At 40.2% G+C, this 25,967-nt stretch overlaps 1 protein-coding gene across 55 annotated transcripts in view, besides 2 other annotated features; it reads right to left on the bottom strand.

Moving 5' to 3' along the window:
- Positions 1,039-1,128: an enhancer, noted in NCBI's record as "active region_16305". NCBI's record gives its function as "activates an Ori minimal core promoter by ATAC-STARR-seq in GM12878 lymphoblastoid cells {active_cell/tissue: GM12878}" and the evidence as "EXISTENCE:reporter gene assay evidence [ECO:0000049][PMID:35858748]".
- Positions 7,023-25,967, bottom strand: part of MAP4K4 (mitogen-activated protein kinase kinase kinase kinase 4) — a 196,984-nt gene continuing 178,039 nt past the window's right edge. For 49 of the 55 annotated variants that reach the window (NR_169280.1, NR_169281.1, NR_169282.1 and 46 more), the window contains 7 exons: positions 24,567-24,710; positions 19,028-19,162; positions 16,426-16,526; positions 14,476-14,625; positions 13,776-13,935; positions 12,778-12,917; positions 7,023-10,547 (listed from right to left, as the gene is read on the bottom strand). Coding sequence is in view for 51 of the 55 variants with exons in the window: in NM_001395002.1 (NP_001381931.1) it covers positions 10,464-10,547; positions 12,778-12,917; positions 13,776-13,935; positions 14,476-14,625; positions 16,426-16,526; positions 19,028-19,162; positions 24,567-24,710 (914 nt within the window). In the remaining 4 variants the exon portion in view is untranslated. Of the gene's footprint in view, positions 10,548-12,777; positions 12,918-13,775; positions 13,936-14,451; positions 14,626-16,425; positions 16,527-19,027; positions 19,163-24,566; positions 24,711-25,967 lie in introns of all 55 variants that reach the window. The other 6 variants (NR_169279.1, NM_001384481.1, NM_001384485.1 and 3 more) reach the window with 1 other exon arrangement.
- Positions 7,489-8,259: an enhancer, noted in NCBI's record as "OCT4-NANOG hESC enhancer chr2:102509916-102510686 (GRCh37/hg19 assembly coordinates)". NCBI's record gives its function as "activates a minimal SCP1, AML or CMV promoter by ChIP-STARR-seq in naive and primed H9 embryonic stem cells {active_cell/tissue: H9 hESC(naive and primed)}" and the evidence as "EXISTENCE:reporter gene assay evidence [ECO:0000049][PMID:30033119]".

Raw genomic sequence — 25,967 nt, 5'->3', positions numbered from 1 at the left:
TTGTTTCTGATCTTGAACTCGCCTCATATGGTTATGCTTATCTTAATCTACTTTCCAATGTCCTTAATTGTCCTGTTTTTACTAGCAATTTCTATGGAACAGTGCAATCCCCAAACCAGCAGCCTCAGCACCACATGGAAATTTTCTAGAAATGCAAATTCTCCAGCCCCACATCAGATCTTTACAACAGAAACTCTGGGGTGAGGCCCAGGCATCTGTTGTAATAAGCCCTCTATGGGATCTGATGCATGCTTAAGGTTTGAAACCATGAATCTAGAAAGCTTAAAGGTTCACTCCTGGAAAGGGTATGCAGCCTTGCCGTTAGTCTTTCTCGAGCCCCAGGCTGCACTGTTCTCAAGTGTTCCTCAGGGTTCTCTAAGCACTATATCTTTTAAATTCCTTATAGTGAAATTCCTTTTGGAATCTGTGCTCAAATCAGACCCTCTAACTTTTTACAATAACCTCAGCATGTAACACAGTGGCTTGTACATACTATGGTACTTTGTATTTGTTGAATAGATAAACAAGTTAGTGCACACTGTCATAAAACACTTATTTTGATGCAGATCCTTCATGTTCAGTTTTATGTAGGTTAAAAAAAAAAACAAAGATTCTGATAGCTAAACTTGATTATCTGAAATTAAGAGGAATGTTGTGTAAGATAAAGGTTCAGTCCTAGGTGATTAAGTTATTACTTCTGGTGGATTCCAAGATGGGCATCCTCCTGTGTTACTCTCAATTTACAATGAGGGCTTCCCCATAAACAACTTGGTGGAAACACCTGCATCTAGCTCTCTAGATTGGCATCAAAGCATTAAAGATATAAACTAAGACAATGGGGTTGCACTTAGCAGTAGAGAGCTTCGAGCCTGGACTCTTAGGAGACCTCCTGAGCTTTTCCTGCAGTACGGAGTGATGCAGGAAGAATGGACACTCAACATCCTCTTAGTCAGTGACTAGGTTATGTATGAACATGCTGCAAGGACACCAAGAGTTACTGTCACTTTTCTCAGTTTCTACCACATGAGTCTGTGTTCCTTTCCTTCTTTTACGTGTTATGCGACAGGCACCAGTAACTATACATAATGGTGGAGTGGGATTTTCCCCCACAACTATGAGAAGTCTCTGACAACTTCATTTCCAGGCAGGATGGGCTCCACCTCGCTCCTATCATGTGACTCAGAGGTTGCTACCACCTCCTTCCCTGAACAGGACACGGCATCCTGTCTACAACACCCACCACCTGCCACGGGAAGTGCAGCCAATCGGCTGCACGGATCCTACAGTATGTGGCATGCGACTTCTTGTGGGGACATGAAACACCTCGGCTGATACCCCTCTTCCTCACAGCATCAAGGAAATGAAGGAAACACGGTGCCACGTCTGTCTCCAGAGGAGGAATGAGGTCTTCCTAGGCTCCAGGCACCACCACATTCACCCCTTTGAGATTTGCAAATTGTGTCCTCCACCTATTTTTGGCTCTTCTGCATTTGTTTTATTACAGGCAGGGAACACAAGCTTTATAGATGAGGGGGTGTAAAATCTATTCTCTAAAATCCCGGTTTCTTGATGAAAAGTGAATGAATGAAATGAGTCAATGGGTTTATCAGGATCCCACCCCAGCCTGCATTACAGGTAACATTCCAATGAAACCACATCTTAGTCAGCAAGCCTTTGACTCAAAAAATTAGTGTGCCCAAAACTCCTTGAAAACACTAACCAAACTAATATGCACTGAAGTACAGAAAAATTAGCCTTTAAAGATTAGCAGACTAGGTTCTAATCCTGGCTCCTCCATTGATAAACTCTAAAACAACCTCCAGCAGGTTATGTAATTTTTAGGAGCTCAGTAAGATGTAGACAACAATATTTACCTCCAAAGACTCCAGAGGGGAGTAACCATAATAATGTACATAAAGCCTCTGGCAAAATGGTAGCCTCATGTGGCTATTCAGTGCTCAATGCAGCTAGTGGGACCTGGCAAATGTTGTGTAAAATACATAACAGGTTTCAAAGTTTAGTATGAAATGAAAAAAGTCAATTATCCCATTCTTTATAATACTGATTACATGTTGAAATAACATTCTGCAATATATTGTGAAATATATTACTTTTTTAAAATGTGCACAATTATATATTTTACACTAGAGATCAAGAAAAATGATAGCTTGTGTTGACAGGTTGACTTATTTTTGTGCCTATCTTAAAAGCTTCTGTTACACCTGAATCATTAAAAAGTATCCCAAAATTGCTGACTTCATATATTTTTTAGGTTCTTATCTTGCAAGGTTAACTATTTAAAAATTGTGATCATGTACCTGTGGGCATCAGAATTTTCTCCATATTAGACAACTAAAAATTAGATACAGACATTGACAAATATTATCTATAAACTCCAACAGCAAGGCAGTATCTATTCTCATTGCTTGACCTTTGAATTCAAACTTAAGATCCACACTATTTCTTTAATTGGCCTTATATGACGACACTCTTTTAAAATTAAAAAAAATATATGGGCACTCTATGCTTAACGTTGGAAATCTAACAGATTTGGGTCTGGGTACATGCAGCCATTTCTCTTTTGCCACCTAAAGGGTTGACTACCTGTGGAAAGCTCTCCAGGGCCAGACAGAACTCTGCCTGATCTCTGATCTAGCAGGATCCGCCCATTTCCTGCGGTGGGAAAGCCTGTAGATTTCCTAACCTGGTTGCTGTAGGGTTCACTGGGGAGCCAGCCACAGTACCGGGAATAATCAAGTGTAGCCAGCCTTCCAGAGAGAGGTCCCAGAGAGTGCGCTGAGCCAATGAGACATCCATGTGTCCTGAAGAAGTCCCCACCTCTACCATGGCAGAACCCATTTCTACTGCATCCAGAGTCCATTCACATTTACAAAGAATATTGAAGCCATTTGATGAGTTCAGAAGTGTTCTTGAGTGGCTCATGAATTGCTCACCACCTGATACAGTTTGGCTGTGTCCTCACCCAAATTTCATCTTGAGTTGTAGCTCTCATAATTCCCATGTGTTGTGGGAGGGACCTGGTGAGAGATAATTGAATCATGGGGGAGGTTTCCCTCATACTGTTCTCATGGTAATGAGTAAATCTCATGAGCTTTGATAGTTCCGTAAGTTTTTCTTTTCACTTGGCTCTCATTCTGTCTTGCCTTCCACCATGATTGTGAGGCCTCCCCAGCCACATGAACTATGAGTCCATTAAACCTTTTTCTTTATAAATTACCCAGTGTTGGGTATGTCTTTATCGGCAGCGTGAAAATGGACTAATACACCACCCTTACACATACCTAGTCCCAACTTACCTCAAGGTAGGTGATTCTACGGGGTGCTGAAGGGATTTCAGGTCCTCTACAGCCCAACAAAGCCTGCCTCAAGGGCCGTGAACCTGGCCAGCCATTGAAGTTGCCTGTTTCATCCCGTTAGACAGTTCTGATTGTCCTTTTCATACTGGAGGCCGATGCTGCTCCCAGGGCACTCAACCCACTTTTCCTAGCTCTATCTTCTGGCTCCTGCATTTGTGTCTCTCCAAATAAGTTTAAATTAACAAATGGGTAGCCTAGTCTCCTCTTCTATAGGCTGAGAAGGCAAGTGTAAAAGCCCTTAGTACACACGGCCTGGTGCGTAGCAAATATACATAAAATCCCATTGCTATCATTAATTACCCCAAAGCAGGATGGATTGATCAAGGTTGAATGATATTTTGATTTTTAAAGGAATATATGCTTACTTCTACCAATTATTTTCTTTTCTTTTGACCCATCTTCATTGGATCTAATTTGGAGCCTTGTCCTGCTGTGTCCCTCTCCTGCGATGAGGCTACAGGTGGTCCCTCTATAAGTGTATCTAAGTGTGACCTGACCACCAAAGGGGGTCATCTCTCACTTCGTAATCCATGCAGTTCAAACTCACGCCAGCTATTCTAGCAGCTGCATGCTGTTGTAGCTTAAAAGTGTTAAGTCTCTTTTACACACACACTTACTAAAGGCTCTGCTTTAACATCTGGAATATACTAAGCACTGTTCCAAGTAACCCCTTTAGTTAATTCTGCATTTCCCCAAAGGAGCACCATACCTTAAGACTGTGCTCAGCACACAGTGGTTGCTCAACTTGTTAGATTGACCAGAATGCCACCAAGTTCCCAGAAGTTTACTAGTGTCTACACTTACTCAATGACGTACCCTGCAAATGACAGTCTGGGGACAGTCAGGGCTTCCAGGAGGCAGCACTGAGGAAATGTGCTCTATGACAGTAAGATACATGAGGTGCCAACAGGACAAGGCCCTTGTGAAATGTGACAGCTCCATGTGTTTGCCAAGGATCAGAAAAGGATCCCAGCTCAGCAAAGCCAGCTCTTATGTCCCTTCCTAGGGGTGAGCCCACATAAGTTAGAGGGGACAACCTCAGAACCCTGATTTAGGATTTGGACACAAAGAACGCCCATAGATCCCAACTTTTCCGGGTTGGAGGTTTGCTCTCCACAGCAGGCAGGGCCTATGTTGGCAACTGTGCTTCCAGAACGGTCCCCCATTCCAAAACTTGACTCGCTGCATCTGACCTATGATAAGCCTACGTTTGGCATCAAGATCATCTGTGGAAAGAGATCCCTGGGTTTCTAAGAGCTTAAACTGAAAACACACCTAGGAGGAACCCATTTCTGGAGCTGCTTTTGGGGCTGTTTCCCCTGAGGGGTGAAAGGTTAACTCTGCAACTTTTGAGGCTGGGGACCTAGCTGTCAGTGAGTTAGTTGCAAGTATAACACCAGGAACATAGATTAAGAACCAAGGATGGCAATATAAAGAAATGAAGTGCTGACACGTGCTACAACATGGATGAGCTATAACACACTATGCTACATGACAGGAGCCAGTCACAAAAGGCCACATGGTGACTGGTTCCATTTCTATAAATGTCCACAACAGCCAATCCATAGGGACAGAAAGTAGATTAGGGACTGCCTAAAGCTTGAGGGGGCAGAGTGGAGGGAGGCAGAGATTGGAGGATAACAGCAAAGGGGTATGGAGTATCATCTTGGGGTAATAAAAACGTGGGAAAATTGTTAGTGATGGACACACAACTCTGAATAGACTACAGGCCACCCAATTGTCTACTTAAATGGGTGACTTATGCAGTATGTGAATTGTATCTCAATAAAGCTGTCAAAGAATCAAGAGGTACTCAATACCATTTATTGTGGAACAGTTACTTAATGTTAGTTTCTAAGGGCTGTTACATCAGGGTAAGAGCAGAATGGCCTTGGTCAGCTCTGTCCGCATCCCTCCACAGAACTCTGGTGAGTAACTTGCCTGAATTTTACACTTTTGGCCAAAATAGAAATGAGTATTTTTTAAAAGTCACTTTGTGCTGGAATATCTAATCCAAATTTCTTAGAAACAAGCAAACTAGATTGGTCTCAGAAATCAAGAGTCCTTGCAGTGTTATTCCAGCACCCAAGCTCCAGCTGGAGGGACTGGTAAGTACTAGGAACCTGTTATGGGACAGGATGGCCCATGCCCAGTGCAATGGAGCTCTGCAGCCCTCCTGGGACTACACTTCCCCAGCACTTCCTGGAAGGAAGACCTGGAAGAAGAGGAAGACCAGAGCACTTCCTTGCCCGTCCCACACTGCACAGGCAGGCTGGTTTTCCCTTGGATTAACATAGGAGTTATTTCATGCTACTTAAGCAAACAGCCAGGGACTCTGAGTGCTTGCTCTGTGCCAGCATGTTTGGTAGTTCAGGAGGAGCAGAGTTTAAATTTAATAAGTGGTTAAATTTGAGAAACAATCTCGGCTAATATGCAGGCTATGTATCCCTTAGGAAATAGTGAACAAGATAACAGCAAAGAAGCTGGGCAGGACAGAGGCAAAGATGAGACTGTTTCAGGAAGAATTTGACACAAGGACACAGGCTGATTAACCTAAGGGAGAGGTAGACCAGGTATGGGAACGCAGTATTTGAGTGCCTATCTTCTCACGTAAGAAAATATAGTAACTACTTTCCCCAAGTTTTGATTCCTTAGCCATTTTACTTTATAGAATACATTAGCTACTTCTGCTTAAATGAAGCACGGGTTTTGTTTTGTTTGTTTGTTTTTTTTTTTTTTTTTTGAAGGAGATGCCAGAGAATGCACCAATTTTACTGTATTTTTGAATGTGATGCTAAAACACAGAGCTGGTGTTGGCTGAAGGGTCTTGATTGGATCCCCCGTTGCTCCCATTAAGTGAAATCTCAACCAGTGGAGGAGAAAATTGGAACAGGAGGATTGCATGATGGTCCCAAGAAAACTCCACCAGATTTTTATTCATAATCATCCACCAACTGCAACACACCAAGTAGGAAAAAAAAAAACTTACTCATCTGACAGCCTAAGGAGTTATATTTTCCCTTTAGAGAGAATAGCATGTTTCTAGGATGAAACACGAAGTGGTTTATTAATATGCCTAATTGATGATGATGCAGCACGGGCAGCCCTGGAGACTAAGGCGAGGTGCCAACACTGAGAGCATGGCCCCAGATTTGCCCGACGGCGATCATGCCTACCAGGCCTATGGGGGGGTTGATGGGGAACCCCAGCGCTGAAGACACAATGACCTTACATTGAAGGGGCTCCAATTATTAAACCCAAGTTAGTATTTATGCACCAAACTGAGAAAGAGCTACTTTAATTGACCTATTACAGACATCATGCTGTTGTATTTTTTGATCCAAATTCAAAACTGCAAAAATGTGACATTTCTTTAAGGACCAGCTTTACTCCATACTGTCTTCAGGAACCTGGTGATGGAGGTTCATCTCCCACTTCATCTCTGAGGTCTTTAGACAAACATTTGCTACTTTTGTAATCTATACCTGGCCTTGGGCAAGCCCCTGTCATCTGAAATAGCAAAATACAGGAGCCTGCTCTGGTACGGGAAGCTCAGGGTAGGCAGGTATGCATAAAATATGGATCCTCACAGGAAGGAAACATTCTGAAGGGTCAGAACATATTCGAAACTCATGCCACATAAAATAGGTGTCATTTTTACTTTATTTAAGGAAAAAAGGGTGGGGGGACAACAGTAATTTTCATAATACACAGTAGACAAGTTAGCACTGCAAAAAAAAGGGCTGTGTACTTGCCACCAGTCTGCTTTGCAGCTTTTATAATTAGTAAATTTAATGCAGTTTGTCATTTGTATTACTATTTAGCAAATTAATAATTGGCAAAATTAGGGTAAGTGTGCTACAACTAAGACGAAAACCTAAATAACCCATAAAAAGTCACTTAAAATAAACCATAAATATGTGGTGCGCATTAGTGTAACAAAACCATTTTTGTAAACATTTTCTCCAACGTAACATGTGCATGAGAAAAGAGTAAAAAACACTGCACTCAATACAGAAAGGGTTACTCTGATTTTAATACAGAAAGGTTATTACTTGTGAAAGCTCTGACTAAACCTAGAGACATTTTTGTTTTGTTTGGAAGAGCACTCCTCTAACAGTTCAATGTTCCTTATGTAATGGTGTCATTGCAATACTGTTTTCTTGTGTAATTTTGCCATATTGGCACTTCTGTGGAGAAGTTACTACCCTGTAAAAGGGGGGAAAATAATTCCTTTCCTAAAAGAATCTAAACATTTCGACGACTCCCAATCTTTAACGGAGAAACTTCACTGGGTCCCTGCATCAAGCTATAGCAACTCAATCTGGTTGACAAGGGGGTGAGGCTAAGACGGGAAGGAAAAAAGCCAAGTAAAGCACAGACCAGGAAGCCCCCGCCGAGAAGGACAAAGGGTGTTCCAATTTCAGTAACTTAAGCCCAACAATGGATTCAATTCAGTTCACCACAAACACCACCAGAGTGCCCACCGGGTGCCTGGAGCTGCACAAGCAAGCCAAGCACAACTCGGTGTGAGCTCAGACCCCTTTACCACCTATGGGAAAGCCAGCAAGTTCTAAGCACTTGGTAATTCCAATGAAACACCATTTGCATTTTTTTTTGTGTAACATTTGACTTACAGACATGGAGCTTCAAGTCTTTGGATAATGTTAAGACCATTATGCCACATCCTTTGTTCTCTGCCTTCTCCCACTTAGCATCAGACATTGAGCATTTCTTCAAAGACATCTGCCCACCTTTTACTGTTCTCCACCTGTGCCTTTCCTTCTTCTCTTGATATGTACACGAGTGTGTTCACTGTGGCATGTTTCATCTTATGAAAAGCCTAAACATGGATATAAATTACAAGCAGGAATTTAATTCTAACTAAAGTCCTGTGGCGATGGAATCCAGCCTACCTCAAATCCCTTTAAAGGTAGGATTAATTTTTCAACCTTCTCTAGGTTAACTACAAACCAGTAGGCGGCTTTGGCCTTCAGCACTGCTCCAAACTCATACAAATGAAACATCCATTTCCATCTTCTTTTACTTCCCCAAAAAGTAAGCTTCTCAGCTTGTCTTTACAGGTATACACAAAACCACCAGCTGCTGTGTCTGCATTCATGAGTGGATGTACTTGTCTTACCAGATGTTTGTAGCTCAAAGGAGGGCCTTTTTCAAAAAGATGGAACCAGGAACAGGAAACTGACAAGAGGTCAGAGTGGGTGCCAAGTGGGATGGGAAGCAAACAGGTACAAATGGCTGCTGTGTTTAGGTGGGTGGGAGCAGAGGGAAAATCCCCCATTTTCACAATATACAGGAAAATTAACCACAAAGGAAAAAGATCAAGCCTAAAAAACAGCAAGTTTCTTTTGATGACTGAGGTTAAAGCAGCCATAATGCAGTTATTTCCACTCAGAACTCGACAAGAGGAAAGTAAGATGGCAGGACTGTGACATGGAGTCCTGATCCTTTCCTGAGACGGTAATATCCTTACGGGAGCTTGAGTGATGACCATGAAGCCATGAAACAAATTCTTTCTCAAGACATTTATTACAAATGTCATGAATATATTCATAAAGTAAAATTGGTTTAAAAAAACAGAGAACAAGAGAGCAAGTGAGAAAACGAGAAAAGCCAGGACTTCGATATTACACCTAAAACACAGAAGATGCCCACTTTATGAATAAGCAGAATTAACTACATTCTTAAAATAGTTTTAGTGCATTGCATTTTTAGAAAAGGGAAACTCCCCCACCCCCAAGAAAAGGTTCCTGCAACACTGAACAGTTTGTGTGACTATTCTAATGTAACCACCTGTCTGCTACCAACCCCTCTACATCGAGAACAATGAGATCTTGTGTCATGGGCTGCAGTTGCCCCATCAACCTCTAATGGTGAATCTGGTAAAAACAAAGCATTCTGGTTTCTAAACTTGTAAGTAAACTGCATCAGCCTTAAGGCTATTTCCCATCTTCATGGACAGTTCTTGTGCCTGCTGATTTGTGACAATAAAAGTCAAACTTCAATCTGGTCGTTTTGGTATTAAGATTAAATTAAACATTAATGGTTTCTTCCAAAAACATATAAACTAAATCACCTCTCAATGCATTAAGAACAATGAGGTAGGCAAAAAAAAAATAAACATGTGGTTTGAATTTTTTTCTTTCTTCTGCAAGTGCAGACTGTGGTAAAACTTTTGTTGCACGTCTAGGTTTAAACAAAAATTAAACCTTTAACTGAGGCAGTGCTAATACTGTCACACGACAAAGTTCTGGCCATTATACAAAATGCACACGTTTTCTTTTTCTTTTTTTTTTTCCTTTTTTTTTTTTTTTTTTTTTTTTTTTTAGAACCATCTGCACATGATTTAGGCAACCTGGTACACAGAAAAATGACTGAGTTCTTGGCCAGGACCCCCACCCCAAATCCAAAGAAACAAAATGGGACCCCTTAACCCACCCCACCCCATCTCCCAAGCCCCACCCACAAAAAAGTTATCCTAGTAACTGTGTCTTTCACATTTTATAAATATTAACTTCTTAAACCTGCATCTTCTTCTTTGTCCACATATCGTCACATTACAAAAAAGAAATGTCAATTAAATACACTGTTAATGTTACTATATTAAATCTGCTCTCTGCTTCAGCACTCCGCTCCTTTTACCACCACTTCTCACCTCCTTGTGCCCACTGCCAATAAAACCAACGGCATGTTCATCGTCGCCACTGTCAGACACCCACAAGACAGAGTCATTCAGAGACAAGGAATTCTGGAGCTGGAGGAAAGGTGTTTGCTTTCCAGTATGATGCTCAATCCCAAACACTTATAGCACCTGATGGTAGAATCTGAACAGCACCAGCTGCATTGCAGCCTTGATTTATTTTGGAGTAAGAAAAAAAAAAAGAATGGGGATAAACTGGTATATAAGAGGAACAGGAAGGAGGGGAGAGAACCCAACACATGAGGTCTGCACACACAGCTGTCCTGGTTGCCCTCGGTGCAGCTCCGAGCTCCAGTTACAAGGAATTCCAAGTTCTCAGGATCTTGAAGACTCTGGAGGCCAGTAATCCCTGGATCACACTGCTTCTACCAGCTCAGAAGAGAAGTCCTGCCTAAGGTCATGAAATAAACCTGACTGCTGCCACCAGACCGAACAGAGGCAAAGAACACCTGCAAAAGCAAGAAAAGAGAGGGAATGGTTACCATGGTCATGAAGCACTTCCAGCCAGGGAATCTAAGCCACCATCATCCTCAACACTGTCAAGTACGAGAAGCTTAGACTCCCAAAGAGCCTTTTCAAAAGAAACTCTGAGGCCAGGTGCAGTGGCTCACACCTGTAATCCCAGCACTTTGGGAGGCCAGGAGTTCCAGACCAGTCTGGCCAACATGACAAAACCCATCTCTACTAAAAATACCATGTGGTGGCACACACCTGTAATCCCAGCTACTCAGGAGGCTGAGGCATGAGAATCACTTGAACCCGGGAGGTGGAGGCTGCAGTGAGCCAAGGTCACACCACTGCATTCCAGCCTGGGCAACAGAGCAAGACTCTGTCTCAAAAAATAAATAAATAAATAAAAAGGCTGGGCATGGTGGCTCATGCCTGTAATCCCAGCACTTTGGGAGGCCGACGTAGGCGGACCATGAGGTCAGGAGTTCAAGACCAGCCTGGCCAAGATAGTGAAACCGCATCTCTACTAAAAACACAAAAAATTAGCTGGGCATGGTGGTGGGCTCCTGTAATCCCAGCTACTCAGGAGGCTGAGGAAGAGAATTGCTTGCACCCAGGAGGTTCAGGTTGCAGTGAGCCGAGATCACGCCACTGCACTCCATCCTGGGCGACAGAGCAAGACTCCGTCACCAAAACAAACAAACAAACAAAAACAACCCACAAAAACCTCTGGGGCAATTATCAATTTATAATTTGTAAGGAGTGACCATCTGCAGCCAATTTTTATTACAACTCAGGCTTGTTACTACTAACTCCTTACACGTTGGCATATTGTGAGACAACAAAGGAAAAAAATGGATGTTTCTGAAGTTATTTCTTTCCACTTCTACTGTTAACACCTTCTAATAAATAAATGTCTTTAAAAAACACAATGAGCATCACGGAAGACTCCTTAACAACCTAATTTCTTTTTAAAAATCAACAAAAAATGTATTAATTACTTCATATAACCCATAAATAGAATTTTTGTGCCATTTATTAATAAATCTTAAAGGACATGACATGCATGATAAAAATATTTAAATGCCTGAAATTCAAAGAATGCTATAGTTGCAGCTATGGTAAACATACTTAGGAAAGTATAAGCCAACAAGCTGACAAAATCCTGGATTAGGTCTGAGCTGTAGAGATTTTCAAGGTCACAGATTTGGGAGATAATCTGTAGGCAAAACTCCACTTGAAACTGAGTTGTAGGGTTGCAGAAGACAGTGGGTAGAGGTGAAGTGACTTTGTGTTTGGGATGTATCGGGCAAGCAGGACCAGCTGCCAAGGACATATGTGTAGCTTCTTCTTTCTTGCATTAAATGACTAAATGTTTAAATCTGAGAACTGGGCTGACTGCTAGTCTGTCAATGTGACGCAAAAGGTGGAAACGTTCTTCAGGGCCAAGTTTCAAAGGTCGTGGTGTCTTGCCTTAGGTAGTCAGACATGCCTTTGTCTGACTGGGCAGAAGAAAGAAAGGGTAGGCTTAGTAAAAATCAGTTCCACCCTCGATGCCTTCTCCCTTGGCAAACAGGGATGGGTCAACGCCCCTGGCCATCTATCTGCTCAACTCCAAAGCCAGTTTAAAAGGGACTTCCTGGGAGGAAGGTGCCACAGGAATCGTCCCTGGAGTGATATGGCCAGTTTTGAAAAGCAAAGGGGGTGTCATGCCATGGGGTCTCTGGTGCAGGAGGTATGTTATGTCTGCATAAGATGATTTTTACTGTGCAACATTTCTGTCATGCAAACCTAGGAAGCAATTTCACCACTCACAGACTAACAAGGGGCATCTTCTTGACACACATTAGGTCAGAGGAACCTTTTGATGTACCCAAATGGCACGGCGGTTCCTTCCACTCACAAAAGAATTCCAGCCAACTGAACTGGCAGCTTTTATCTTCCCTATCTCTAATTATAGCCTAGACTGGTCATCTAATAGAGTTAAAAATACATATACAAAGCAAAACCCAAATATGTTAATTTCTACAGAGAAAAATATCTCTATCCCCTCATAGCAAAAAGCAAAACATTCCCCAATCCTCACAAACATGACTAAAAAGCAACGTTTAAAAAGTTCCTTGATTATTTTTATCAAAACTCCAAGGAAATTAATCATCAAACTCCATGGAAAACAAGCCATTATTAAAAGATAGAGCAACTAAAAAGAATCCATAAGGGAACTATTACCTTGTCATTGCGTTCACACAAGAATTTTAGTCTTTGAGCCCTTTTGTGCATGAACACACCATCCAAGTGACCAGTTTCCACAGATCGGATCTCTATGGCCTTCTCTCCCCAGCCCATTGTCTGATTGGATCGAATATATGCTTTTGGGGAGGGAAAAATTGCAAACCGTTAAAGATGAGGAAACAGCCCTGAAAAGATGTTGCTTACTTAATAAAAATATATTTTTATACTTCTAAATCTTTTTAAAATTTAAAATTTAAATGCCTAGCATTTAAGGATTTGTTTTCAAGGAACTCTGCCTTTGTAACCACCTTGCCTATCCTGTGAAGTAGTTACTTGCATCAGTGGTTGATCTATTTCATTTTCCTTAGGCCTTTCACGCCTATCTAGAAAAATTACCCACTGAGTTTAGAGTTTAGTGCACAGATTTTTATCAATCCAGTCATGAGAGACGGCAGGGAAGAGAAATCATGAGTGATCAGAGACAGTGACCTAATTACAATAAAACCAAAATAGTTTTGGAATAGAAACCCATGAAAATGTCAAATATCGGTCTTTATTACTGAATGCAAACTAGAAAAGTATGCACAAGGCTGTTTGTAGTTATGGCTCTAGCATTCTGTGCAAATAACTTCCCTTTCTGTCTCCCTTTACCAATTCGTTACCAATTCTCTGTCTCTTTACCAATTCTCTGTCTCCCTTTACAAAGTGGTCAACAAAAACATGTCCGATATTCCTCTGGATGTTTTAAGGATTAAATGAGAGATTATGATAATAGAGTTTTTAAAGTAGAAAATAATTACTTGGATTTTGTTCTAAAATAGACCTATGACTATTTCCACGGCCTACAATCTAACTTTCCACCATCTACTGCCAACTACTCTGTTCAATGGTAGTCAAAAGGTCTGAAGGACATACAAAATCAGCATGATAAATAAATGGAGTCTCAGACACGGCTCCATTTTCACAAATGCTGCCTTTCCCCAAGTTCTCCATACCTACTGATGTAGGCATCTCTCCCCACTGTAGAACTACATCCTTGGTGATCCTTCCATATGTGTTTACATAAACCCCCTCATCTTCATAGCACACCAGAAGCTCCATTCCATCTGTATTGGGGAGGATGATGATTGCATGGGGTTTGATGCTACACTGGATCTAGAGAACAGGAACAAAGTACAGGGAAGAACGTCTGTGGTTATTTCCAGCCCTGTGCAAGTGCTCAGTAAGACTCTTAGTGAATGCACTGGTACCATATCTCTGAAGATAAATACAGCAATTAGATTAACATTTTAGAATAGTCATGCAATATATATCCCCAACTCTGCTTTTTCCCAGTAATATACTCTACTGACTCATATCTCCTGAGGCCCATGAAACATTGGATGCTGGGCTCCAATTGAGAACCACTCCCAACCCAGGGATATTCTGGCCTGGCAGCAACTGCCCCAAATCCATCCCATGTTAGTCAAAGCAAGAGCTAAGAGGTTTTCACAAGGGCTCCACAGAGCCAGGAAGGCGGATTTCCACTTGTCTAAGAGCATGGAGCTATTGAAAATTGCGTATCATTTAAATACTCACCCCCACACCAAGGGGAAATGAATCCCTGCTTGTGTTAGTTCACTAAGCAGAGTAAAGAAGAAAGTCAAAACAAAATGAAGCCAGTCAACCAACCATAGAGTGTGGGTTCTTTCTTACATGTGTTGGTAGATAAATGTCATAGACTGATCCTGAATCCACATCAACAGCATGGAATCCAGCACAGGATCCATAGATCACTTTCAACCTCTGGCCTTCCTCAACAGTGAGATCCACCAGTAATGGCTTATGTACCAATTCTCCAAATGACTGCAAAGAAGCCATAAGAGAAGTGAGAAGATGAAGGAGAACATTTTTTTTTTTTTTTTTTTTGAGACGGAGTCTCGCTCTGTCACCCAGGCTGGAGTGCAGTGGCGCCATCTCGGCTCACTGCAAGCTCCGCCTCCCAGGTTCGCACCATTCTCCTGCCTCAGCCTCCCGAGTAGCTGGGACTACAGGTGCCCGCCACCACACTCAGCTAATTTTTTGTATTTTTAGTAGAGACGGGGTTTCACCATGTTAGCCAGGATGGTCTTGATCTCCTGACCTCGACCTCCCAAAGTGCTGGAATTACAGGCGTGAGCCACCACGCCCGGCCGGAGAACTTACTTCTAATAGATCAAACTAGAGAAGACCCAACATACTCAGTTATGCAATTACTGAGCCACACTGGCAACAACCGTAAGGCAACAATACTCTACAAAATTAGTCTTTATTACGTTTTTGCCTGTTAATTAGCATCTAGAAGACACTTCTTCCAGAAGATATGTTCCAAATCTCCCTTTCCAGATCAAGATTTCTGCTCTGTCATTTACTGTGCTTTTGGCTGCCTTGATCAGAAAATCATGCAAAGTAAAATAGTGAGGACTTTCCTAAAAATGCTACTCAACTATTCAAATGCACAGTAGAGCGAGAGGAGTTGTAGGAGTCACACACTGAAAATTGTATCACTATTATCATACTAGTAGCATAAGGTCTCTAATTTTCTGACTAGACTAAAATGGTGAAAAGGCTGTATGTGCTACAACAGCCTGGATTGTGCTGGTGGTCTCCATTTTTCACTGACATCACTACCCACAGTTCACGAGACTACGATAATGAAACAGCAGCTTTAAATAAGGTAATATGTATAAAACCAACTAGTACGGTACCTGGTATATAAAGGATATTAAGGCCAGATCTCAGAAGATAATATAACTGTATAACCAATTCTCTTTATTCAGTAACACTTGGATTTATTTTTTAAGTGAATATTATTTTTTAAGCGAATATTGTGACTCCATCTATCCTGCTTCACTGGGAAATCAAGCAGTAAGCAATCCAAAAACACAAATTTTGCAAATAAATGAAACCTACCCCTTCAATAAAATATAAAAAAACTATTCTAAAAAGCCAATCACCAGGCAATGTGAGGTATATTTGTAAATTTCATGAGTATTTTTGTGAACTCACAAATGAAAACAGTCCTAATTTTAAGACTAAGTACTCCATCATTTACTTTCCTAAAACTGTATACATGCAAAATGGCAAAAACATCTTAATTTGTACATTAGTTCAGATGTTATAGCTGAGTTTTTTATTGAAACAAAAATGGAATCATATGAAATATTTTAACTTTTTTCACTTAGTATATAATGTTGTCATCAGAATTTCTGTAATTTAATTTTTAATTAGTATTTTATGAACAGATATATCTTAAAACTGCCCGATAGACACAGTTTTGTTATCAAAAACACATCTAAATCTTTACACGCTTCCATGACTCAGGTGAAGGTCACCTTTTTAACTGAAGGGTGGAAGTACTGTTCTCTTTTCCTCTGTGAACACATTGCCACATCGATTAAAGTGTCTACCCAACATTTATCTCTCTCTCCTTCTCACTGTGGGCTTAGAAAGCAGCTTAACTAAGCTTATTACATTAGAAATGGTTTATGATAAAGTTATATGCTATATTAGCACATAGCTTTTATATTAGCAATTTTAACATTCAGACTTTTTAAACATATTCCCTGACTCTTGGTTGCAGCTTGAATGGCCAATACTACTTTTAAATTCACTTGATGTTGTTACCTTAAAGGCCATAAATTTGTGATATGGCTTTGGTGCCCACGCATAGACTTCCACAGAACTCTTCAAAGCAATCACCAGAAATTTGATTCTTTCATATTTTACTGAAAAGCAGCAAATAAAAAAGCAAGAGAAGCACAGGTCAGTATCAACATAGCCCTCTAAACTGTTTTAGTTGTCTTCTGCAAACTTTATAAATATGCCTTCTATTCATTCATCCAAACAAGCAGGGGAAAAATTCAGAGAGAGAGATCACACCTCACAGTTTCCTTTTCCAGCTCTTTAATGTATTTTGACCATCAATGAGTACTTTCGCTAATGATCCTAATCTTCTTATAATAGATTCCAAGATATTTTAAAATCAAGGACAATGCCAGGTATACCACCCTGAAGTCTTCAAGGGCTTAGTATTACTCCAAATGAGTAACAACATGATTAATCAGCCAAGAGACTCCTGAAACACACAGAGACCGAGGTCCTCCTTACAACTTTCCCTAGTCCTGCATGGGGCTCACACAGACTGAGGAAGAAAAAAGGCTTATACTAAAATATTCATGAGTCCTGAATTCTACCAACAGAAGTATCTGTGAACAAGTCCAAGTATCACTAAGACCATTTCCTGATCTACAGAAGTAGTAAAACTGCCTCCTTCCCATAGCTATTTTGGTGCCCTTACTGCCAGGCAACTCTGCCAAAACAAGTACTCCCAGGGGTCCTTGAGTACCTGTGACTTACTAATGCAGATCCATGATTTCTTTACAAGCTAACATCACACCGCTACTTGATTTCTTCTTTGTGCATGAGCAGGAACTTGTTAACTGATAACTCCCCTTGTTAAACTCTATATATTACCACTGTTTAAATAAATCAATAAACGAACATTAAGACACAAAGGTTTATAACAGTCTGACAAAACCGGTACTGTTTCATAGACTTCTGCGATGATAGAAACTCTCCGTATCTGTATTGCTAATATAACCACCACACACATGGGGCTATTGCACACTTAGAATGTACTAGTGCCATTGAGGAGCTAAATTTTAAGGTTTCCTTAATTTTTATTAATTTAATATACATTTAAATAGCTCCCTATTCTTGGTGGCAACCATAATGACAACGAATGAATGATATTACCCACACTTATCTCCTGAAAATACTTGTGATTCATTCTGTATGAGTGACAGGCCTGAAGGCCTACTGTTTTGTTCTGGGGAAAAGCCCAACAGACTTTTAACCCGTCTGCCTCTTGCTCCCCCTGCAGGATAATCTATTCATGTACATTTCATCTGTTATGAGCTGTTTCATTACATTTAGCCTTAGATGATTTTAGTTATACCTCAACACATAAAAATACTTCACATAAACACAGAAAACCCTAATCCTAAAATCTATCCTAAGCAGATAGTTCTACTTTCCCGTATCATTAGAACTGTCAGAGATACTGAGGCAGCTCCCACAATCACCATTAACCCACGAGCTGAGGGGTGCAGACAAACTACACCAACAAGACAATGCCAAGCATGACAACATCCCTCGGAACAGAGGAACTGATGATGTATATATTTTCATAAACATAGAAAAAAGAAAACACACAAGCAGAAACAAACATTCAATAGGCCCGTAACATTAATCAGTTTTAGGTATATAGAAAAACTTCCTGTTTAAATTCTGTTAGACTATAACATCTTTCCTATAAAACTTTAATTTGGCTAAGGTCCATTATTTCTCCCGTATGTCTAACATTAGTGCCAGTATTTTGGTTTTTTCATGTTTAAAAAAAAATTGTTTTGATTAGCTGGGCGTGGTGGCAAGGTGCCTGTAATCCCAACTATTCAGGAGGCTGAGGCAGGAGAATTGCTTGAACCCGGGAGGTGGAGGTTGCAGTGAGCTGAGATCGCACCATTGCGCTCCAGCCTGGGTAACAAGAGCAAAACTCCATCTCAAAAAAAAAAAGAGTTTTGGTTTTGTTCCTGTGAGATTTTACTTCATGAGAATCACTGCTTCATGCCAAGGAGAAAAAACAATACAATTGCCATAAAACACTGACTGGCCAGCTGGGCTCACTTACTAGTAAGGAGCATAGTAGCTGTGCACAGGCACTTAATTCAAAATGGCAGGCCATAAGCCCTTGAGTCAAACTCTCAAACACTCTTATCAGTGCCTGCCAAGGACCTCCAGACCTCTAAGTGGAGAATAAGCCTGGCATGTAAAAAAGGACTCAAGTCAGCTGGCTTCCACTGACAAGATTTCCTTAAAGAGGTTACTGTGAACCACATCTTACAGAGGAGAAGAATGTGGACTGTCAAAGAGGAGGAGTGGAAAGACTCTCACAAGATGCACAGCGTGGGGGAGACTGAGGGCGGAGTGAGTTGCAGGGACGAACTCTGTTATGCATATAGGTGCACAGAGGGAGTAAGACAATGTCTAGATGAGACTTCAAGATTAGAATGTGCCTTGGAAACAGAAAGAACACCAGAAATGATCCACGTGTTTCAGAAACAAGTTTATTATTACAAACTTCAAAAAACCTGTGAAAATTTAAAGTTTAAAATTCAAACTCTAATCAAACTCTGGAAAAACAAAATATGACGCTTCTAGAACTTACCAACTTTATAATGTACACATCCTTCCAAATCCCCTACGGTTGTCCATCCCTGCTTCTTCTCAACTTCTGGATCATTGTGAAGTATTTTATTTCTTAACCAGGACAAATAGTAGACACGTAACTTATCCTTTTTGCCTAGCAAAATAAATATAAATATTTTACATGCATATCCAGAAGTAGGTCTCATCATTAATAACAATAGTAACCAAAAGAAATCAATCACTTAAGGCCAGCACTTAAACCTAGTGAAAGGCAAGTCACAAGTTGGAGATGTGTACCACAGAAACAGCTGACAAGGGAGTCATAATCCAGAATATGTAAAAAAACTCCTATAAATCAAATAGAACAGGAGATAACAATAGAAAAACTGGACGTGCCACTATAACTGGAACTTTGGAAAAGAAGTGATCTCACAGACACACAAAAAGATGCTCATTCTCACCAGTAATAACGTGTGTTAAAACAGTAATAAGATGATTTCATACACCTATCAGTATGTCTAGAATTCAAAAGACTGACAATATCAAAGGTAGGCAAGATGTGGAACAACTAGAAACTTCAGAAACTAGTGTTGTAAACTGTTAGAACTGTTTTTGTAAGTTTGGCACTATCTATTAAAGTAGGATATGTGCATATCTTACATATGGTCTGGTAATCTCTCTCCTAATATAAATGTATATGTATGCCCCCAAGTACAACAACAGGAATGTTCATAGCAGCATGGTTCCTAATAGCTCCAAACAGGAAACAATAATGTCTGAATGGATAGTAAAATGAGTAAATACATTGTGGTGTAGTCATCTAAAGGAACAAAGAGACTACAGCTACAAGCAACAACAACAAAAATGATGGGGGGCAACGTCAGCCACACACATCAACAAGCTAAGAAGAAAAATCATATGATCATATCAACAGATGCAGAAAAACATTTGACAAAACCCAATACCTACTTATAATAAAAACTTTCAGGGAAATAGGAATAGAGGGGGAACTGCCTCAATTTGACAAGAAACATCTACCATAAAACCTTACAGCTAACGTCATACATAATGGCAAGAAACTAGATGCTTTCCTCATAAGATAGAGAACAAGTGAAGGATTTCCCTTCTCATAACTCCTAGTAAATGTTATATTGGGTGTCCTAGCTAATGCAATTAGACAAAAAAGGGAAATAAAAGGTACAAGGACTGGGGAGGAAGAAATAAAACTGTCTTTCTTCACAGAAGACATGACTGTCTAGGTAGAAAATCCTGAAGAATCAACCAAAAAAAATCCAAAACCAACCAACCAACCAAAAACCCTGCTGGAACTAATAAGCAATTATAGCAAGAATTATAGCAAGGTTGCAGGATACAAGCCTAATAAAATAAAAGTGAGTCACTTTCCTGTATTTCCTGTATACCAGCAACAAATCATTAGAATTTGAAATTAAGACTACAACACCATTTATACTAGTACTTAAAAAAACAAAATGGGTATAATAAATCTAATAAAATTAGCCCTTTGCTAGTTTTACTTAAGGAAAACTACAAATTCTGATGAAATCAAAGAAGAACTAAATAAATGGAGAGAGATTTCCATGTTAATGGACAGAACAGTCAATACTGTCAAGACATCAGTACTTTCCAACTTGATCCACAGAGTCAATGCAATTCTAATCAAAATCCCAAGTTATTTTGTACATATCAATAAGCTGACTCTAGAGGCAAAAGACCCAACACAGTCCACATAACATTAAAAAAGAACAAAGTTGAAAGACTGACAGTACCTGACTTCAAGATTTACTATAAATCTACAGTAATCAAAACAGTGTGGTTATTAGCACAAAAAGAGACAAATAGATAAATGGGAAAAAATAGAGCCCAGAAATAGAACTATACACCAGGCGCGGTGGCTCACGCCTGTAATCCCAGTACTTTATGGGGCAGAGATGGGCGGATCATGAGGTCAGGAGCTTGAGATCAGCCTGACCAACATGGTGAAACCCTGTCTCCACTAAAAATAGAAAAATCAGCCAGGCATGGTGGCACATGCCTATAATCCCAGCTACTCGGGAGGCTGAGGCAGGAGAATTGCTTGAACCCGGAAGGCAGAGGTTGTAGTGAGCTGAGATCTCACCACTGCACTCCAGCCTGGATGACAGATTGAGACTCCGTGTCAAAAAAAAAAAAAAATAGAACTATACAAATATAGCAGTAATCTACAAAGGAGCACAAGCAATTCAATGGAGAAAGGTTAGTCTTTTTAATGAATGCTGCTGCAACAACTAGATATCCATAGGCAAAAGAAAATAAATCTACACAAACTTTGAAACTTTCACAAATATCAATTCAAAATGGATTGTGGACCTAAATGTGAAACACAAAGCTGTAAAGCAGATTCTAGAAGGTAACAGAAGAAAATCCAAGTGACTCTGGATTTGGCAATGACTTTTTAGATACAATACCAGAAGCACAATTCATGAAAGAAAAAACTAGTAAGTTGGACTTCACTAAAATAAAAACTTCTCTTCTGCAAAAGACATCATTCCACAGCATGAACAAACAAGCCACAAACTGGCAGAAAATATCCGCAAAACACATATCTCATCAGAAACTTAGATCCAAAATACACGAAGAACTCTTAAAACTCAACAATAAGCAAGCAACAATCCAATTACAAAATGGATTAAAGATAGAAGAAATACTTCACCAGAAGATATACAAACATAAGAAAAGATGTACCATACATCATTAGGAAATTGCAAATTAAAATGAGATACACCTATTAATTCCTACACCCCTTCAGAATGGCTAAACTGCAAAATACTGAAAAAACGTTTAGAAAAAGTCTACTTAAAAAAAAAAAAAAAAAAGCAGCAGCTGACACTAGAACACATACTGTTTTACCATTATATAAAATCAGTTCAATGAAGGCAAAATCAACCTAACATGTTCAAAGTCTGGACAGTGCTTGCCTCTGGGGGCAGTCCCAGGGTGGCTTCACAGGGCAGTTTTGGGGTGCTGGCAATGTTCCATGTCTTCACCAGGGTGGGGCTATCTGGATGGATTCTGCATGTGACAGCTCATTGAGCTGTATGCTTATCTGTACTTTCTCTGTATATCATACTTCAGTATAATCCTTTTAACTTTTGGGGAATTGTTTGCAGGAAAATATTCAATATATGTTAAGAGAAGAAAAAGACCACACAGTTTTATATATAATGTTTTGTTTCCATCTTGTGAGATATACTTACAGAGAAAAGGAGAGGGAAATATAAAATGTTAACAAGAGTTATCTCTGAGATGGGGGTGACATTTTGTTTTATTCTTCCTAAGTTTCTTCTATTTTTGAAGCTTCCTACAATTGACATGTACTACATTTATGATTGTGAAAACCACTGAAAGTTAATAAGGAAGGAAAAAAAAAAAAAACAGAAAAGTAGACCAAAAAATGATTACTGGTATCAGCTGATTATAATTATTAATTTTTTTTTTTTTTTTTTTTTTTTGGAGACAGGCTCTCACTCTGTCACCCAGGCTGGAGTGCAGTGGTGCTATCACAGCTCACTGCAGCCTCGATATCCCAGGCAAAAGCAATCCTCCTGCCTTGGCCTCTCAGATTGCTGGGATTACAGGCATACGCCACCGCACCTGGTCTCAGCTGAGTATTGATCCCCATGAACTGTCTTGTTTCACTGGATCACTAAATGCAGATTTGTTTTCTCCAACTTAAAAAACTACCATCCATCAGCACTCTAGTTTTAAATGGCTGTTTCCTCATTTAAGTATAAATAGTGAAATTTTTGCATTTCAAGAAACTCCTTTACTTAACAACCAAAGCATATATTAGAAGTAAAATAACTTCAAGCAAATATGTTACATAACAAGCTTGTACTAACAAGCAGATAATTAAATAAAAATCACTGGTGGTATCATAAGTGATTATAATATCATAAGTGACTGTAAGTAGTGGTATATAAGACTCATTTAAAGTCTTATAATTTTGCATGCCATCTGACCAAGGAATAACACTAATTATTAGGAAATTATGATCTATGCAACATGGTATGTGCCTGAAGGTTAAGTAAGCTACAAGGATATCTGTGAAAAATGTTCACATGAGAGAAAAAAGGGAATACACCTAAAGGGCAGCAAGAGAAGATAACTAAATACATTTTAATACATCTATGCAAGGAAACATCCTCTAGCCATATAAAATGGAGGCCATGGAAGGATGTTCAATGGCATGGAGAAAGCAGACTACGTGTTTTGGACAATCAGGCCTGGATGGCATACACCCTAACTTCAGGAAAGAGGTTGCCATGGACAGGTAGATATGGGAGGAACAGGGATGCTGACTGTATGTACAACAGTGTACTGCAACAACTGTTCAAACTGGCTAGTTATAGTTAGTACTTGGGTGCCATTATCCTATGTTTGAAATATTGTATAACCATTTTTATGCAGATTTTTTCCCTTAAGTATACAGTGAGTGTGGTGTATGCTTAAAAAACTGGAATTTAAAAACTTATAAAAGTTAAAAGATATGATCTCTGGATGATTCTACTTTTTATTTCTTGTAGTTGTTTTCCTGTACTAGTTTATATTACACAATTTATACTAAGAAAAATGCTCTTCTTAAAAAGAGACATAATTGGCCGGGCGCAGTGGCTCATGCCTATAATCCCAGCACTCTGGGAGGCCAAGGTGGGTGGATCATGAGGTCAGGAGATCAAGACCATCCTGGCTAACATGGTGAAACCCTGTCTCTACTAAAAATACAAAAAATCAGCCGGGCATGGTGGGAAGTGCCTGTAGTCCCAGCTACTCGGGAGGCTGAGGCAGGAGAATGGTGTGAACCTGGGAGACGGAGCTTGCAGTGAGCGGAGATTGTGCCATTGCACTCCAGCCTGGGTGACAGAGTGAGACTCCGTCTCAAAAAATAAATAAATAAATAAATAAGTAAAAAAGAGACATAATTGTGTTAATTCACATAATAAAAACCATAATACAATACTTTTACAATAATGGCAAAGAATACTTCCTTTTGCAAGTACAAAAATTAGCTGGGCTTGGTGGCACTTGCCTGTAGTCCCAGCTACTCGGGAGGCTGAGGCAGGAGAATTGCTTGAACCTGGGAGGCGGAGCTCGCAGTGAGCCAAGATCGCGCCACTGCACTCCAGCCTGGCGACACAGCAAGACTCCGTCTCAAAAAAAAAAAAAAAAAAGTCTGGTGGAAAGGAGTGGACACAGACCTACATATTGGACAAGGCAAATGAAATCTAACAAGCAACTGGGCAGAGAGGGCAGTGAGAGATGCCAGTGAGAAAGAGCACATTCATACGCTTCTCAAGACTGCTTTCGGAGGAGCCAGAGATCAAATGGGCGTGTGTGTCACCTCTGAATACGTCTTCAGCTCACATTATTGTCAAGTCTCAATGTGGTTGTACCTTATTTAGCCAGTACATCAGTGAATGAGCTAACTGAAGTTTAGTGTGTAAAGCTACAATATTGTTAAGATGGTGTCACATATTCTGGTTTACAAAACAAACACTCACCAGATATTGTCACCAAGACATTCAAGCCCTCAAGTACGTCCATTTGTTGAAATCGTCTTCGGTTGATAAGAGGATAGACCTTCCCTTGGCCACTTCTGTCCAGCAGCATCAGGCCACTCTCTGTACCCACTAGCAAATTCACTCCTGTTTCAGGGACACAGAAAGGCCTCAATTTTATGCTGTGCTTGGCAAATCCCCAGGTTGTATAGAAAGGATAACATCATCTATTTGGAAAAAAGTGTAGCTTCCTTAATTCACCCAGAAGCAGAAATCCTTAAAATAGTCAAAGGTTAAACAGTTAAAGTAACCAATCCTGCAATACATCACCATGTAGCAATGATGCTGACATATTTAAACATAAGAAAGGATAAGGGAAAGAACAAGAAACCCTCATCCCATCAATTTCCTTAATAATCCATTAGTTTCTAGTTCTTCCTCAGTTCCTCGAGAATGTTATATGCTGATTATTTCCTATCTTTACAGATTCTATGTCTAATTAGCCACATCACACATTTGAACAAACCTTCATCTGATACCATGATCTCTTTGTGCTTCCTCATCTTTCATTGGCAAATCTCTGGAATGGGCCATATAAATGCAGCCCTCAAATCCTTAACAGCTTATGATTCGGCTTCCATCACTCACATTTAAGCTTTTCTTAAAGATCACTTTCCACCATCATCAAGAAACAACTGTAGTCAGTTCTCTTGTCCTTCCATTTCTTAGGACTATCAAAATATTGTGATTTGATATTTGACTCACCCTACTTCTCTAACCTTGTACCGTCACAGTCTCCACACTCTTCTGCTGCCTCCTTCCTTATTTCCACACCTGCCCTCTGCTTCCTCAGTGGAGACATTTCCACTGCTGTCCATCTGGTGACACCCACCCACCTGTGCATGAGTGTGCCTCAGAACCAGTAACTCCTAATTCCACGCTGCTACTTTGCCTCCTGCTTTCCACCCACTGCAGATCTCTACTGAAACTAGCCTCGCGACTTGGCTGCTTCTATCAACAGCTCCCAAGCTGCTCTGCCAAACTAGCTAAAACTGGCCACTAGAGCCAGAGAAAACCCCTTCTCTGTCCCTCCTTTCCCTTTCCTCTGCTCTCACAATTGTTCAGCCTTTGGCAACCTTTTAAGTGACGGATAGAGACCTTAATTAAGGTTGTTAAAGGAGCTTCTCTCCACTTTCTCATGATGTACATCCAATCAATCCTAATCTTGCTAAAATACTCACGTCATGACTATCTTCAAAAACTACACATTCCATGTAGAAATTGTTCCAAAAGCCTTGGACTGGCATCTAAGACTGCCTGCCCCTTGGCCAAAGCACTTCTCCCTCTTGATCATTCATGTATTTCCCCAAATGCTCTTGTTCCTTGACCTAGAACCTTCACTGT

This window comes from Homo sapiens, chromosome 2, assembly GCF_000001405.40.
Source record: "Homo sapiens chromosome 2, GRCh38.p14 Primary Assembly".
NCBI lineage: Eukaryota > Metazoa > Chordata > Mammalia > Primates > Hominidae > Homo > Homo sapiens.
Note: the sequence above shows the minus strand (reverse complement) of the source record. Positions and strands in the feature narration are given on the sequence as shown.